The sequence below is a fragment of the Homo sapiens genome, chromosome 6, assembly GCF_000001405.40.
Source record: "Homo sapiens chromosome 6, GRCh38.p14 Primary Assembly".
In the NCBI taxonomy this organism is placed as follows: domain Eukaryota; kingdom Metazoa; phylum Chordata; class Mammalia; order Primates; family Hominidae; genus Homo; species Homo sapiens.
In genome coordinates this window covers 77,487,487-77,504,637 of record NC_000006.12, presented here as the reverse complement: position 1 = coordinate 77,504,637, position 17,151 = coordinate 77,487,487, and the positions used below count along the sequence as shown (strand labels likewise).

At 35.6% G+C, this 17,151-nt stretch overlaps 1 long non-coding RNA gene and 1 pseudogene across 1 annotated transcript; both read right to left on the bottom strand.

Moving 5' to 3' along the window:
• Positions 1 to 565: 565 nt before the first annotated feature.
• On the bottom strand, positions 566 to 16,969 carry LOC124901493 (uncharacterized). The gene is made up of 5 exons (XR_007059926.1): positions 16,825 to 16,969; positions 15,839 to 15,933; positions 12,960 to 13,141; positions 2,697 to 2,853; positions 566 to 866 (listed from the first exon to the last, which is right to left on the bottom strand). It is a non-coding gene; the product is annotated as an uncharacterized LOC124901493 (long non-coding RNA).
• Positions 8,176 to 8,540, bottom strand: RPS6P7 (ribosomal protein S6 pseudogene 7; annotated as a pseudogene).
• Positions 16,970 to 17,151: the final 182 nt, after the last annotated feature.

Genomic DNA, 17,151 nt, shown 5'->3' with positions numbered 1-17,151 from the left:
TGCCAGTCACCTGTACAGTAAGGGGCAGACAAGATGACGGTGGCCAAGGATAATTCATTTGCATAATAAGATTAGGGTGGGGCAACCAGCTTTCCTTCGCACTATGTAAATGTCACACCTGATCGAACCAATCTGTGAGCTCCACATAAATCACACAGCGACTCCTCAAGCTGAACTATGAAATCCAGTGCCTCCGCTGCCAGCCAACCTTTTCCACTTGGAAGACCCCTCTCTCTCTATAGAGAGAGCTGTTTTTCTTTCTCTTCTCTTCTGCCTATTAAACCTCCACTCCTAAACTCCTCGTGTGTGTCCCTGTCCTAAATTTTCCCAGCATGAGATGACTAACCCCAGGGTGTATACACCAGACAATGTGGCCACTTCAATAGTAAGAGAATAAATTAAGAATTAACTTTGAGAATTAATTCTGATAATGTGTGTAAAGCACTTAGCACAATACATAGAATACCACATAGAAACTAGGTATTAGTATTTTGTATAATAATCTTTCCCAAAATTATTATAGTATAATTGTATTTTATAATGTGTTGCAACTGTCTTCATAGATTCCCTTACTTTTATTTTTATAGATAGTTTATTTCTCACTCAACATCTTAAAATTGCTTGATTTAAAATGCTTCATGTATTAGTTAACTTACTTTGCAGTTTTTTATTTAGATCACTCACTTCCACAATATATAATTTGCACCTTCCCAATAATTTCATAATATGTACTATAGCTGTACATCTTCAGGTGAATTATTTCAGATTGATAAATTTCATCACTTTGATTAGCTGGCAATCACCTGGACACTATGTCAGCTGCAAGCCTAGGTCACTCAAATTGTTATTGAAGTGCTGTATTTGAGCTGGGATGACAAAGGGAGACAAAGAAATATAGGTTATTGGAAACTTGTGCTATTTGTTATCAAATAGATTGGGATTTATATAGAGCAGTTTCATTATGAACTATAAGAAAAATGCATTTAATTTTTTAATACTCAATGTACATCCTTATTAGGAAATTTCACCTGAAAGAGTTTCACAGAATGGATCTTAGAAGACAGAATTCATCATGAATCTTACTTCTATTTGTTAGTTCTAAGAACACAGCACAGTTGAGTACTCCCAAAGTAATGAAAACCAGTGCAGAACTAGTATTTCCAGATTCTGGCCTTATTTTAGCTATCTGTTGCTATATAACAAATTAACTAAAAACTTAGCAGCTTAAAAGGACAATACATATTTATTGTCCCACACTGTTTCTGTAGGTCAGGAATCCAGAATTGGCTTTGTTGGTTGGTTCTGGTTCAGGATCTCTCATTAAGCTGCAGTCATCTCAAGGCATCAATGAGCCTGGGGGATTTATTTCCAAGCTGTCTTGCATTCCCAGCCAAGTTAGTGCCTGTTGCTGGCCAGCACTAACTTGGCTGGGAATGCAATTTCCTTGCCATGAGAACTTAGCCACAGAGCTTGTTGAGTATCCTCACCACATGGCAATGACTTGCTCCAGATGACTAATGTAATAGAGAGCAAGGCAATGTGTTTCTACGATACTGCCTCAGGAGTCATACTCTGCTTTTTCCACAATATTCTATTAGTTACCTGGACCAGACTAGTCAGTGTGAGAGGGAAGCACTAAATACCAGGATGCAAAAATCTTTGAGGCCTATTTTAAAGGCTGGCTACCACATCACCCTTGAACGGGCTATATAGACCATGGGAATCAAATCAGGTGAATGGTTTAGCCCTAGCTGAAGCTCCTATCATGATGTAAATGTTCTCTGCCTCCATTTTTATTACAATTAATGCCCAGAACTCATACAACCCTAGTTTCTTCAGGATATATATGTATATATATATTCTGGCCAGGAGCAGTGGCTCATGTCTATAATCCAGCATTTTAGGAGAACGAGGTGGGTGGATCATTTCAGGTCAGGAGTTCGAGACCAGCCTGACCAACATGGTGAAACCCTGTCTCTACTAAAAAATACAAAAATTAGCCAGGCGTGGTGGCGGGCACCTGTAATCCCAGCTACTTGGGAGGCTGAGGCAGGAGAATCACTTGAACCCAGGAGGCAGAGGTTGCAGTGAGACGAGGTAGTGCCACTGCACCTCCAGCCTGTGCAATATAGTGAGACTCCATCTCAACACAATAAAATTTTAAAAAATCCAATCAGTATGCTTTATAGATTGTGAAAATATCAAATGGGTAGATATGTGACTTATTTCTTTTAAAAAAGAAAATATAATGTAGAAAGAAGAAAATACAAATAATGTAATACAAATGAGTTTCAGTTATTGCCGTACAAATTATTAATTGTGTTGATTTTAGGCAAGGAGTTCTCATCTCTAAAGTGAGAATTATGATGACAATAATGATAGAAAAAAACATAGTGTGATTGTAAAAATTAAATATAAATACATTTGAGAAGTCACTACAAAACTGTAATGCATTGTGAATATTGTGAAATCAAAGTGATGTCTGATAAGTGGTGGCTTACATAACACCACCTTATCCTGAGTCTGGTTCTAGCTGCATGAATAAAAATGGCAAACAACTACTACTGCTAATATGATAACTAATATCAAATTTGAAGAAAATGAAGAGAGGAAAGCAGGAGAAATCCATTAGACTGTCCTGGGGCAAAGTTCTGCAAATCAGTATGGAAGCTGGTGAATAAAACTACAGCTCCTACCATTAAGTTGAACAATTCTGGGAGGCCTTCTGTATACTTCTCAGCATGTCAATGGAATTGAGCCTCTGTTGCCCTAGCAGTGATCTCAACAATACATTTTTATATTAGCTTTTCTCCTTTCCTTATGCTTCATGGCTATGTACAAGCCACCTTTCCCCTAGTAGTTAAGATTAAGATAGGTATGTAGCATAACTGTATTGAGAATAGGAATGCTGCTTCTGGAACATAGATGCTGACAATAGCAAGCTAAGTGATTGAAGAGGTGGGAGTGTGGCAGTGGGAGCAGTCCACCAGGGTATGCAACAATGAGCTACAGTATCCACAGAGAGTACAAAAACAATAATAAAACTAACAACATATCAGAATGCTTTCCAAGAATACCATGTACCAGCAGTTTTACATAATGTCAGTGACAAAATCCTCTTTCCAGCCAGGTTAGGCTGATCTTGCCACCTGTCTTTTCGTCCTTGTGCCTCTGGATGCTGATGTTACTTTTCAAGTCCAATCATGATCTGTAAGTTGGATGCGTCATATTGATAGTTTGAACATTTAAATGTGGATGGGGTGCGGGATATGTAGCTGTGCCAGGCTCAGTTTTAACATGAGCAGTTTGATTGACTTTCAACAATAAATTGTCATTTTTTATGTTAAGCATGCTAGAGGCTCTTTTTGTTGTCCCAAACAGAGCAGCTTGGAGTGAAAGAGAGAGACAGGTTCTTGGGTGCCACAAAGATCCTAAATATTCTTTTAAAGTTTTAGGTACTATGGTAAATAATGCCTAAGTCAATGCATTTATATCCAAGAATACTATTGACTTGCTCTAAGATATGCCGCAAATCTCTAGTCAATAAGATGGAATCTCGGAACTATTCTTTGGGGATCTAGAGTTTCAGTGGACATTACCAATTTTGTTATCCAAATAAAATTAGCTGTAATATTGTATACATTCTATTGTCTTCACTTTTCTATTTTACCCCAATGCATTATGTCTTTGAGGGAAATCAATAGCTTATACTTATGTTTTTCACACAGAATTATTTCCCAGATATTTAGTAGTTTTAAATGGACATTGATGTACAGTCTTTTCAATATCCATTATTTGATAAACATGAAAGCAATAAAGGGTTTGCCAATTTGTTCCCAAATGTAATTAATCATTGACCTCAACATATTGTCTCCTGGGGAAGTACAATATTACTAATTAGGGCTTTTTCTCCTCTGTGCCAATGAAATAGAAAAAGAATATATATGAACTGATTATATAAAATGTACTTTCACAACTCTTCTTGTCATGGCAGTCATGACTAAGTCTGATCAATTTTTTCCCCACTCCTAAGTTGAAAATCTCATTGTCAAAAAATTAAGATGTATTTATTATAACATATATTAAGTTCACAAAAGAATGTGCTGGGTTAGTTCCTAACCATTAATGATCTCTTTTTAAACTTAATATGTCCTAGACCTTAGTAGTCTTATAATAATTTACTTATTTTCTTTAGCATAAATTTTTGTCTTTACTATAACAAATATGAAACCAAATATTTTAACTTGTGGTTATATATGCCATCTTTGAGAATCAGCCTTATTAGCCATCTAGATAACCTTTTACTTAGTGAAATATTTGAAAATGAAGACTGTAAAATCCCTTTTAATAAAGGAATAACTTATCGACTAATTATTTTAATAGCTTTGTGTGTTGGGGTTGTCTATGGTGGTGTGAGGAGGCAGGCTTGAATAGAACTTAGTGAGGTTTATAGAGCGGGACAGAAGAATTATTTTTATAACATAAATGAAAACAATTTAGGGGAATAAAATTTGAGAGTGTATCATAACGCATATTAAAATGACAACTTGTAACTCCAAAATTAAACTGCTATTGTTATCTGTCATTGAAAAATGCAGAAAGAGCTATGAAAAGCTGTTGAATGTTTGCATAGAGGCCACATTTGGAGGTAGTACCTCGCACCATGTAAGTAGTTGCACACCCTAGGCCAGAGTTTCTATTTGGAAAGCAGAGATATAAACTCCTTGACACAGATTAGAATGGAATATTTTGAGGCCTCACTATCATGAATTGCTATTCAGCTGCCTAGTGGTTCCTGGATTCAACATAGTGTAGGTATCAAAATTTCATAGTGGGAGTTAAGAAATGAGTGCCTTGAGCTGAATGTAAACACCCATGTGACCATCTGCAGGTTCCTAGATCCTCACAAGTAAATAGATGGCCTGTGTGCTGTTACCCTCACTCCTACTGATAGGGTTTGGCTCTCTGTCCTCACCAAAATCTCCTGTTGAATTGTGATCCCCAGTGTTGGAGATGGGGCCTGGTGGGAGGTGTTTTAATCATGGGGATGGTTTCTAATGGTTTAGCACCATCCTCTAGTGCTGTCTTGTGATAGAGTTCTCAGGATATCTGGTTGTTTGAAAGTGTGTAGCACCTCCCCCTTCACTCTCCCTTCCTCCTCCTTCTGCCATGTAAGATGTGCTGGCTTCCTTTTCCCCTTTGGCCATGATTGTAAGTTTCCTGAGGCCTCCCCAGAAGCAGAAGCCTGTACAGACTGCAGAACTGTTAGTTAATTGAATCTCTTTTTAAATTTTTTATAAATTACCCTGTCTCAGGTATCTCTCTATAGCAGTGTGAGAACAGACTAATACACCTACCAACATGAGCTTTTCCCATACTACATTTTTTTACTGACCCTGTATGTGGCTCCAGGATTCTCTCCAACACACAGAATCAAGAAGCTAATTTGCAGAAACTGGCATAAAGCTTACTTATTATGTTCTCAAAAAGGTAATTTTCACTATCTGTTTTATTTCTGTTATTTTTAATGTTTGACTATGGTTCCAGGGTGGGTGAGGGGCCTAATTTTTCCCGTGTATTAGACAGAATCTCATTGAATAGGCTAGGCGACAATCATCAGCAACCAGGGGTGGTTGAGATCATGCTATGCACCCCTTAAATACCTACTGTTGTGTTTCTCTGCCCTCTAGTTCAAAATATTTTTCCTCTTTTATGCACATATATACCAGCAGGAGCTCTAATGCAAATTCTTTTTTAATCTGTCTTCTGTTACATGCTGATTGTAGGCTTATTGGTTTAGTTGTATTTTGGTTTCCTTTTAAATTGCATCCTTCAATACAAAACTGTGAGCATAGTGACTCCAGAAACAATATAAATGAATTTTTGAAGCATGGAGTAAAAATCTTCATCAGAACTATACTGGTGTTTTAGTTATTTATTTGGGATCTCCCAGCATATAAAAATAGCATTTACTCCGCTTCTTGAGAACTGAAGGATTGGAAAAGAGGTGACTTCTGTTGAAAATCTTTCTCTCTAATAATTTTTGTATTAATAAATAGGAGAACTGTCATATTTACATACTCTGTTCATTAAAATGTATTGACTTTAAATTTTCAAGGAAATTTGCATTTCTTCTGACTTTCTTTTTGTAACCTAAGATCATCCTCTTCCATCTCAATTTAAGAAATATTTATTGAGCACCTAATATGTGTCTTAATTATTCACATCACCCACTCCCACAGTAAGGGATATCATGATGATTGAATCTGTATTTCTGGCTTCCCAAGACTCACAACTTTAGAAGGAAGTGATACACAGAATCAAGGTATATAAAGAAAAATTCCAAAGTAGGGGCACAAAAACTGCAGAGAGTGACCTGGGGAAGGAGAAATTAATTCAACCTGTGGTATAATGCAACTTAGAAACTGTCATGGGAGACATAACATTTGCTATAAGTGCTCTGCCCTATAGTTCAAAGTATTTTTCCTCTTTTGTGCACATATATACCAGCAGGAGCTCTAATGCAAATTCTTTTTTTAATCTGTCTCCGGTTACATGCTGATTGTAGGGTTATTGGTTTATTTGTATTTTGGTTTCCTTTTAAATTGCATCCTTTAATACAAAACTGTGAGCATAGCGACTCGAGAAACAATATAAATGAATTTTTGAAGCATGGAGTAAAAGTCTTCATCAGAACTATAGAGGTGTTTTAGTTATTTATTTGGGATCTCCCAGCATATAAAGATAGTATTTGCTCCACTTCTTGAGAACTGAAGGATTGAAAAAGAGGTGACTTCTGTTGAAAATCCTTCTCTCCAATAATTTCTGTATTAATAAATAGGAGAACTATCATATTTACATACTCTGTTCATTAAAATGTATGGCTAACTTGCTATAGTCTTAAAAGATGAGGATAGTGTTGTATGGCCAGGTTTTAAGAACTTTTAATGTTCTTTGCAAGTGGAGTGCAGGGCATAAACAAAGCCAAAAGAGATGTTTTTCGGAGAATGACAGGTGAGTTAATAAAGCTAAATGTTGCTTTGAACTGGAGAAATGAAAGAAAGGTATGGATTGGAAGGGTAGGTAAACAGGCTAGGACCAGGCAGTGAAGGAAACTGTCAGTCTGGAGAGGAAAAGCATTTCTTTTTAATGAGATGATGAATCTTGGTTTTTCGTTTTATGTTTAAAAAAGATTCAGTAGCTATAAATATCTAACAAAATTTTTCTTAGGAATAATACTCTAATTCTTGTATTTGATCAAACGAAGCTATTCTACATTCATTTTTCTAGCCAAGGTAGGCTTCTTTTATGCAGTTGAAAGTAATCAGGATTCTCATGGCTTAATAAATGGTTTTAATAACCAACTGCTAATCTGGAGGATAGAAGCTTGAATATTTAAATTGACCACTTGTTTGTGATACACACTATTTTTTTCTCTCTCTCTCATACACACACACACAGAGAAATATTGGGTAGGCAGAACAATGGCTCCTCAAAATATCCACATCTTAATTAATTACAAGAAACTGTGAAGATGTCACCTTACATGGCAAAGGGGACTTTGCAGGTGTGATTAAATTAAGGATCCTGAGGAGGTTATCCTACGTTATCCAGGTGGACCCACCATAATGTCAAGGGTGCATGGAAAGATGGAAAAGGCAGGGAAAAGATCAGAGAGAGAGCTTTGAAGTTGTTAGACTGCTGTCTCTGAAGATGGAGAAAGGCATCATCTGCCAAGGAATGCAGGAATCTCCGAAAACCTATTCTTTCCTGGAACCTCAGAAAGAATGCAGCTGGCCAACACCTTGATTTAATTTAATTTAGCAATTTTGTGAGGGAGACTGATCTATTTATTTGTTACTCAAAAAAAAAAAAAACTGGCTTTTGACTAGACTCAGACAAGTAGAAGCTCACAGAGAGGGCAGTCTGTGTTCCTGGTGGGTTTTTGTTTTGCTATGGTTTTATTTTTGTTTTTAGCCTCTTTCATTTACTTGGCCAAAAGCTTAGCATATTCTACAACCTCTTCCTTACTTTTCTTAGTAAGCTGTTTCTTCAGAGAAATATGCCAGCATTTATGCTTCAGGACATGTAGTAAAAATCTCAGGTGCTTTGGCCCCAGGTTTCTTACTTTCTTTTTTTGAGGGCTTTTTTTAAATTTTTTTTAAAAATTTTTTTTTACAACATATTGGCAGACATCATCTTTTTCAGACAGATTGAAAAGTTTGCAGACTCTGCTAGCTCTTTTGGGCCTCAGGCAATGAGGCACCATAGTATCAGTCAGTCCAGGAATATCCTTCTCTCTCTCTCTCTCTCTTTTACAAAAACGGTGTTAAGAATGCTCAGATTGGCATCCATAATGCAACCCTAAACAGATTTGCATTTTCTTTCTTCAGTTCTCTTTGGTCTAAAACAGGAATACCCCTTAGTCACAGGCAGATACAGCCTTGGGTCAAGATACCCTGCTTCAAGGGGAAATCTTATTTGTGGTTCCCACCACTGATGTGGACAACATAACCCTTTCATTCTTCACCCAGAGCATCTATAAAATAATGTATTTATATTGTTTTTAAGCCACTAAGTTGTGATAATTTATTTGCAGCAGGACTGGGAAATTAATACAGGTAACTATTTTACACTCAAATACTCACATGGGCAAAACTCTGTTTTTTTCTTTTTTAGGCAGAGTCTCACTCTGTTGCTCAGGCTGGAGTGCAGTGGCGCGATCTTGGCTCACTACAACCTCCACCTCCCAGGTTGAAGTGATTCTCCTGCCTCAGTCCCCTGAGTAGCTGGGATTACAGGCTCCTGCCACTATGCCTAGCTAATTTTTCTATTTTTAGTAGAGAAGGGGTTTCATCACGTTGGCCAGTCTTGTCTTGAACTCCTACCTCAGGTGATCTGCCCATCTCAGCCTCCCAAAGTGCTGAGATTACAGGTAACTTTATTTTTTATTAATCAGTCTAATTTCTGATTCAAAGTTCTTAATCAGTCACATAAAGTAAACATAACCTAGTCATTTTTCAGGTAAGCGTAGTGAAATTCTGTAACTTTTCATGCATTTTAATTTGTTCTCCTGCCCATTGCAAGCCACTAGCTCTAATGTTCACCCAAGATGTGAAAGGGTCTTTAAGAAATATCACTAAGCACTGGCAAAGAGTACATGAGTGACCTTGTTTCTACTGGACCTCACAGAGATATAGAACCATCAATTGATGGGATTTTAATTATTTTGGTCTTTAGCTTCTAACCCTGCTACTTCTACAGAGGTGTCAGATCTCCTGCCTGACCTTGGGACATCATGCCAGGAGATAGTTCAGGTAGTTCTTCCTGATTTTGATCTCTAGTCTCCATTGGTTGTGCTGGCCTATGCACAGCCCTTCTTCAGGCCTTTGATCCTTTTTCAAAGGCAAAGAAATGTTTAGTTGTTCTCTTGTTCTGCTATATTGGCCGTGGGAGACCTGGGGCTCTTGATGAGCATTGACTCTGCCCCTAACATTCCTACTCTATCTCTGTTCTATCACTATTAAGGCTAGAGGAACACCAGCAAGTTTGTTAGCCACTTCAGTTCAGAGAGGACAGAAGAAGTCCTCCAAGTATCTCTAAAATAGCAAGATGACAGAATGAAGAGACAGGCCAACTTCCTTGCTGGACTCCTTACTCCCCAATTCTCTTTTCACTCCTCAGATCATATGGTCTTTATCAAATGGGCAGGATATGGGGGGAAGTACTAGAGAAGAACCAGGAAACAACTTATCCTCCAACTAATTCTACTTTTATCTTTTTCAGTCTTGTATTTAGACCTTACCTGTTGAGCTGAAAAGCTAGGAATCTGTTACTTGGTCTAATATGATAACTAACTCCAGGACAAATGGAGGTTCCAAGGTTTAAATTATGAAGAGGTGAGTCCAGGGCTAAAACAATGGAAAGCTCTCTCAAAAAAAAAAAAGAGAGAGAGAACATTTCATATTATTTTTCCACATATAAAGGAAGAAACTGAGGCACAGGGAGATTAATAAAATGGAGTTTGTAGAGTAGGAGTCAAACTCATAGCTCTCTGAATTCCATCCCGAAGTTTTTGAGATGTCATGCTGCATCCTCAGTAAGTCATTAAAATCATTATTCAGCCTCAGTTTCTTCATCTCTAAAGTGAAAAGCTTGAACTGATGAATTCTAAGGCTCATTATAGCTCTAAATGTCCCTTAGTTTGTAAATATTCAGCACTATCTAGGTGAGAGAAAAGAAATGTGTGTGTCCTTACCCTCAGGTGGACTCATAAGCCTTCCCTTAAGAAAGAACATAAATAGGGATCCTGCACTAGACTGCAGAGACCTCTGTATTGCTAGTACCAATGTAAATTTTCTATCTATTAAAAATCAGTGGCAATAAAAGAGGACCTATAACTACCAGTAGATATTCAGATTATTTTATGTTCATATAAATATTTATTATTTTTATCTCTAAATGTAAGCCTTTGTAACTCACATACTCAGCAACTCTTTTAATCAAATTAATACATTAAAAGAGATTCACTCATAATAATAATTATTTTTTATGCAACCTAATTACTATTTGGCTCTATTTTAATATTATAATTTGTATACTTGGCATTATAACCTTCTTAATAGTGGCATTAACTTTGATTTTTCTCAATTGATTATTTCTCAAAGAGCCTGATCTTCAAATTCTTTTCCAGTATCTAATATTGAAGCTCAGGTTGTTTGCTATCCTCTATCTTAACTGCATGATTTACACCTGGCCAAATACTGACAGTTTGAGTTAGTTTCAGGCAATGAAATATGAAAACTCTGATTTACTATGTATGCTTGTCTAGAACAGACCTGCCACTGCTTCAGGAGAAGTCCCACTTCAAATTTTTTCCCAATTGATTCTGAAACTTGAACTGCAGTAGCATTTATCAAAGAGATTAGAAATGGCTCAGGTGCATTCCCTGGGGTAGAGAATACCACTGGAACGTGACTGTGCCCTTCATCTAGCATGTGTAATAAGGATAGTCACTATCTATTGGCTCATTCATCTTTTTACGAGGGAAAGACAAAAAACAAACAGCTTTCTTTAAAAACTGTGTTCTCCTATTTTTTTCTAAATTTTAGGATTCATATATAGGAAAATTCCCTCAGTTAGTCAACATTTTATCAGTTAAATTGATAGATACACCTCTTTGAATCTACAAAGTTAAATATTGTACCCAAATACATCAGAGAAGAGGTCTATTTTACAAGTTGAATTCAGAATTAAAAGCATAGAAACATATGTTTGAGTTAAGGAATTAATTGACAATTTCAGTATTTTTCAAGCCAATTTGTTTTAGAAAAGGGAAACCATGAAATTCAAAATTTTTGGTGACAGCTTATTTATTTTTCATTTATCTATATTGCCTTAGGACAAAAATGAAGCTAGAGTTAGTGAAGAAATATGAATTCAAGAGGCAGTGTTCTAATTTTGTACATGGAGGTCTGTTTTATATGAAAATTATATTGCATAGAAAACATGCAATAAAGGTAGCAAGAAACAGACAGAAGGTAACAAGTATTTCAGGGTAACAATGGATGATGAAGAAGTAGGAAAGAAAACTTGACACTTCAAATTTAGCTGGAGCAACATCAGGATGCTAAGCATTGAGGAAATGTCTGAAGACTGGTTAACTACTCTGGTACATTAGCACTAAACTTTATGAAAATGGTTTATTTGAGTCTAGGTAAAGATCTTTCTCTAAGATCTTAAGCACCTAATTTCCCTCATCAGCAGGGTTTACACATTAATATTTTCAACATAAAGCTTCCTTGTAGAGAAAAGAAGAAAAGTCATATTTACTGATTGCTCACTATGTGGAACTGTTTGGTGAGGCTGAGTGACTTGCTCATACACCCAGATCTGTCAACACTACCACACCCCGGAGCTTTGAAGTCCACAGTGCCAGCTATTTCCAGGAGGGGATTCAAAAACAGATAAAGGCCTTCTGTATTTCCGGGTACCTTATAAAGGGAACATTCACCAATCTTATTTTGTAGACTAGGGGTCAGCAAACATTTTTTTTCCCTAAAAGTTCAGATGATAAATATTTTAGGCTTTTCAAGTCTTTGCATTCTCAGTCACACCTACTCAACTCTGACACTAGCACAAAAGTAGCTATATACAATCTTGTATATAGCATAGTTGTGTTCCAATAAAACTTTTTCACAGAACAGTCAGTGGGCTAGAATCGACCTATGAGTTACAGTTGGCCAATCTCTGACGTAGACATTGGTAGAATTGATAATGACTTTTGGGACTTTAATCAATTTTCCCATTGGCATGTTTTTGTGTGTGTGTGTGTGTGTGATGGAGTTTTGCTCTTCTTGCCTGGGCTGGAGTGTAGTGGCCCGATTTCGGTTCACTGCAATCTCTCTGCCTCGCAGGTTCAAGCAATTCTCATGCCTCAGCCTGCTGAGTAGCTGAGATTATAGGCACCCACCACCACATCCAGGTAATTTTTTTTTTTTTTTTTTAAGTAGAGATGGGGCTTCGCCATGTTGGCCAGGCTGGTCTTGAACTCCTGACCTCAAGTGATCCACTGGCCTTGGCCTCCCTAAATGTTGGAATTACAGGCATGAACCACCCCACCTGGCCAGCTGGCACACTCCTTCTTAAGCATAAGAGGTAAGGGTCAATAATCATGAATGAATGCTGAAGAAGGAATTAAAAAATAAGAACTATTAAGTAGTGGTATCCTAAGCCTTGTAACAAGCTAGCCAGTAGACAACACACAGATTCCTAATTATTACAACATGTTGCTCACATTCTTTTTTCTCCTACTTAAGAAGAGAATCTGGGAAACACATATTCTTGTGTATAAAGCAGAATATCTGAAAAACTTAAAAAAGTAAAGACCAAAAAACACCTCCAAAATACACTTCCTCAAAAGTGAGTAAAGAATGATTTATCCTGGTTAGACTACTCACCTTAATATAAAAATCCTTCTGCTCAAAAAGACAGAGTACTTCCTGAGAAAGCTCAGTGATCAGAGACTGCCAAGACAGCTCCATGCCCAGGAGATGCTATTGATCCTAACTTGGTGGAAGGGAAAATTGAGGAAGTATCTGTGAGGCTAAGTCAAATAAATGGACTTGAATGGATCACAAATCTGTTGACGATAGAAGAAGAAAATGTTAACTTCACACATTATTGGAAAATGGCACATAAAATACAGTCTTAATAAAAACCAGTTTCTTATCATTGAGAAGATAAACAAACAAACAAACAAACAACCTGAGATTATATAAATGAAAGAAAAGGGAATAGATAGTATTTGGGATTTTCTTTCTTCTTAATTTTATTCCAAATGAGACAGAGCAGAGCAAAAAAAAAAAAATTCAACAAGCTAAAAACTAAACTATTCTCACAAATAAGTATGGGATTTGTATTGTTTTGGGATGACATCTGAAGTATAAGAAAATAAATTTATATAGGAATATTGAAAAATCTGCAGAAGCCTTAGTAGAAAGAGTAAAAATGAAACACATGCTCCCGTAAAAAAAAAGTAGCTGAGACATGGTTACTTATTAGGTGTAAAAGTTTCTTGAAAATCTGATTGCTAACCCAAATATTCACTTCCCATTTACGTTTTTGTAGTAATAGCTCAGCTGAATTCTGAAGGACTATATCCACCCCAGTTTGCACAGTGAATAGTTTTAAAAACCAAAGCCACACAGAGTAGAACCAATGGTGTTTTTGAAAAGTAGGTTAACAATTTTGTTCATAGCTTAGGGAGACAAGATCAATGACAGCTTTTAAATCCAATACTAGAAGATGAGAGAGAAAAATACAATCATTTAATTATAAACTTAATTTTATGTTCAGGTGAATTCAGCCTGTCAATAAAGAAGGAAGTGCAGTGTGTATGAAGATGAGCAAAGCAGTCAGGTAAAAACTATTCTCCAGATAAATTGAGCAGTTTCATATGGGAAAAATAAGTTTTCCTCAGAAAGCATGAACATACATATTTCCAAGAATAAGCAAAAAGAAAATATTTGCACATTGCTCTGGGATTATACTGACTATAAATTTCCATAAAAAATGAAATAATCAGCAAATTTTTAAACTTTTACCTTTATTTTTATTCTATAGTTAAAACTTAAAGAATTTTCAAATAGGTTTCCCAGGTAGAAAGTAATAAGTACAATCTATAATGGCATCTCTTAGAGAAAAAATTGATACAATGAACCAAGTTGAAACTTATGATTGAAACAGATTTCATATGCTTTTATCACACAATTTAGAGAAAAATATCAGGAATTACCTCTATTCTTTGATATTTATTTTTAACTGATGCTTGATTGTTTTCTTTTAAGAACTGATAATATGTAAATGTACGTTTTATTTTGGTCAATTGATCTGACCAACATGTCTTTGCTATTTGTACAAAGAGTGCTTTTTTTATAAAACAAGAACTGAATATGTTAAAGTATCCTAGTGAACACTGTTAAATGCAACAGAAATAAATATGAATCTACAGAGCACTAGGCAAGAGTCTACTGAAAACCAAAAGAGGTAGATTTTTTTTCCTTTTTTAAAATGTCAACATGTCTTCATACTTTGAAATGTTTACTAGCAGCTATTTAATATTGTCCACAGAACATATCTTATATATTTATTTGAAACCAAAAAGACTTAAGAATAAAATGTGTTATTAAAGCAATGATTTTTTTTATCATACTTTACGTTTTAGGGTACATGTGCACAACATGCAGGTTTGTTACATATGTATACATGTGCCATGTTGGTGTGCTGCATCCATCAACTCGTCATTTACATTTAGGTATATCTCCTAATGCTATCCCTCCCCCCTCCCCCCACCCCACAACAGGCCCTGGTGTGTGATGTTCCCTTTCCTGTGTCCATGTGTTTTCATTGTTCAATTCCCACCTATGAGTGAGAACATGCAGTGTTTGGTTTTTTGTCCTTGCAATAGTTTGCTGAGAATGATGGTTTCCAGCATCATCCATGTCCCTACAAAGGACATGAACTCATCCTTTTTATGGCTGCATAGTATTCCATGGTGTATATGGGCCACATTTTCTTAATCCAGTCTATCATTTTTGACAATAGGTAACCTATTCAATCCAGACGATTCAATCACCCTGATCACCTGAAATTGAAAATTTTTCTAACGCAAAGTGATGGTGTGCTTATTGTAGAAGACTAAAATTACTGCAAACTTAAAGGACAGATGTCACACCAATCCAAAGACCATTTTCTGTTGTAGAAATAACAAACTGATACATTTTGGAAGATGATTTTGACCTTAACATCTTGAATTTTTTTTCAAGAGAGGAAGTATAAAACACTAATGCATGTGTTATTTTGGACTATATTTTTAAAACAAGAAAAATGTGATGTATTGATTTAGATGTCTGGATGTGCTAGAAAGAAATACTGTCTTGTCTTTTATGCCAAAAGTTTAAAAGTTACTTATTCCCAATAAGATCTCAAAAATAAATAATTCTTGACTATTTATTCAAAACTACTCTCTCACTTTTTAATAGACTCAATTCTAGGCAAAGTTTTGAATTGAAGTAGGAGAAAGGAGTTGGTGTTCACATTTTTGTTTTCAATCCTAAAAAGAAAATCCCAGCCAATAGTGCTTTTGACTAGTGTCTAGTGAAAGCTAAGATTCTAGTTGATGCATTGCCTACAGCACCAAAATATCAGCTCATGTTTTCAATTTTCACAAATTTTTTACAGGTAGAAAGTAATAGACACAATCTATAATGGCATTTCTTAGAAAAAAAGTTGACAGCATTAACAAAAGTATAACATAATTAGAAAAGATCTTATGCACTTTTCTCACACAATTTGGAGACAATATCATGAATTCCCTCAGTCTAGGATCAGGCCTTTTACATCTTTTGTCTGTGTGGAGGTTCTTAATAAACACTTATTTAATCAAGAACAAAAAAGATTTTATTGATGAGATAATCTTATAACTTTCTCCAAAGTAAAAAAAAAAGAAAATACACAATGTGTATTATGATAAAAAAAATCACTCAAATATGCATTTTTTATTGAAAAGAGGAAAATTCTAGATAACTCTACTGCACTTATTTTACCACGTAATTAAATTAAACATGTAAGTTTCAAATTGCATTTAAAAAAGTTATTGATTTATCCGTCATGGTTAATCAAACATTGTTTAGTAGGTTAGCTCAATATAAATGTTTTGAAATATATACTGCTGATTTCTAAGCCCTAATGCGTTGCTGCTCCAAAGCTATTTGGAGAATGAAGGAAACTGTGTACACAGTTACTTCTTAATCAAGCCTTGGATATCAGTTAGCATTTATGACTAATGTTTAAAATAAGGTAATGGAAGCATTTTATGACTAGGCTATAATCATACTGTACTCACTAAGTGTCAATATTATCTTTTAAGAAAGTTAGGAACAGTGTTTGGCTGCTAACTCATAGTCTGGAAATTGCAGTGACCTACTAGAGTTAAAGAAGTCTGGAGGTAGGCAGTACAGATTTAGAATGACAGTTTCACAGACTCTTTCAGTCTTTCTGCTTCAACATCCTGAGCATGAGAGCTGCCATGCTCAAGTCTTCCTTGTTGTGCAAGATGGCTGCAGGAACACCAGCCATTTTAATTGCAAAACAGGATCTGCCCAAGAACTTCTGCTTTTATATTACTCTATTTCCCTACAAAGAAGATGAATAAATGTACTTTTTGAGGTGGGCAAATCACCCAAGTTTTATCTTAATAAGGAAAAAGAAAGAATGGATATTATGCAGGCAATCAACTGATAGTAGGTAATAAATTATATATACCTAAGATCACATAGAAGCCAAATATCTTGATTTCCTCTGGCTTTCATAACTGCCATTCTACCTGTCCCCTTGAAGAGAATAAATGGCATTACTAAATGGCAATTAAAGCTGCATATTTTGATCTAAACTGAAGAATAAAAACAATGATTTTAAAAATAAGACCAAAATAATTTCAATGAGTTATAGAAAAAGATTTTTATAGGAAAACTTTAGACTTATGTGGAAACATTATATGAAAACATTAAAAATGATCTTCAAAAAGTAAGTAATGTATGAATTTTATATATCAGATGAAATTTGTAATGACTGTTGAGGAATATTTTATAA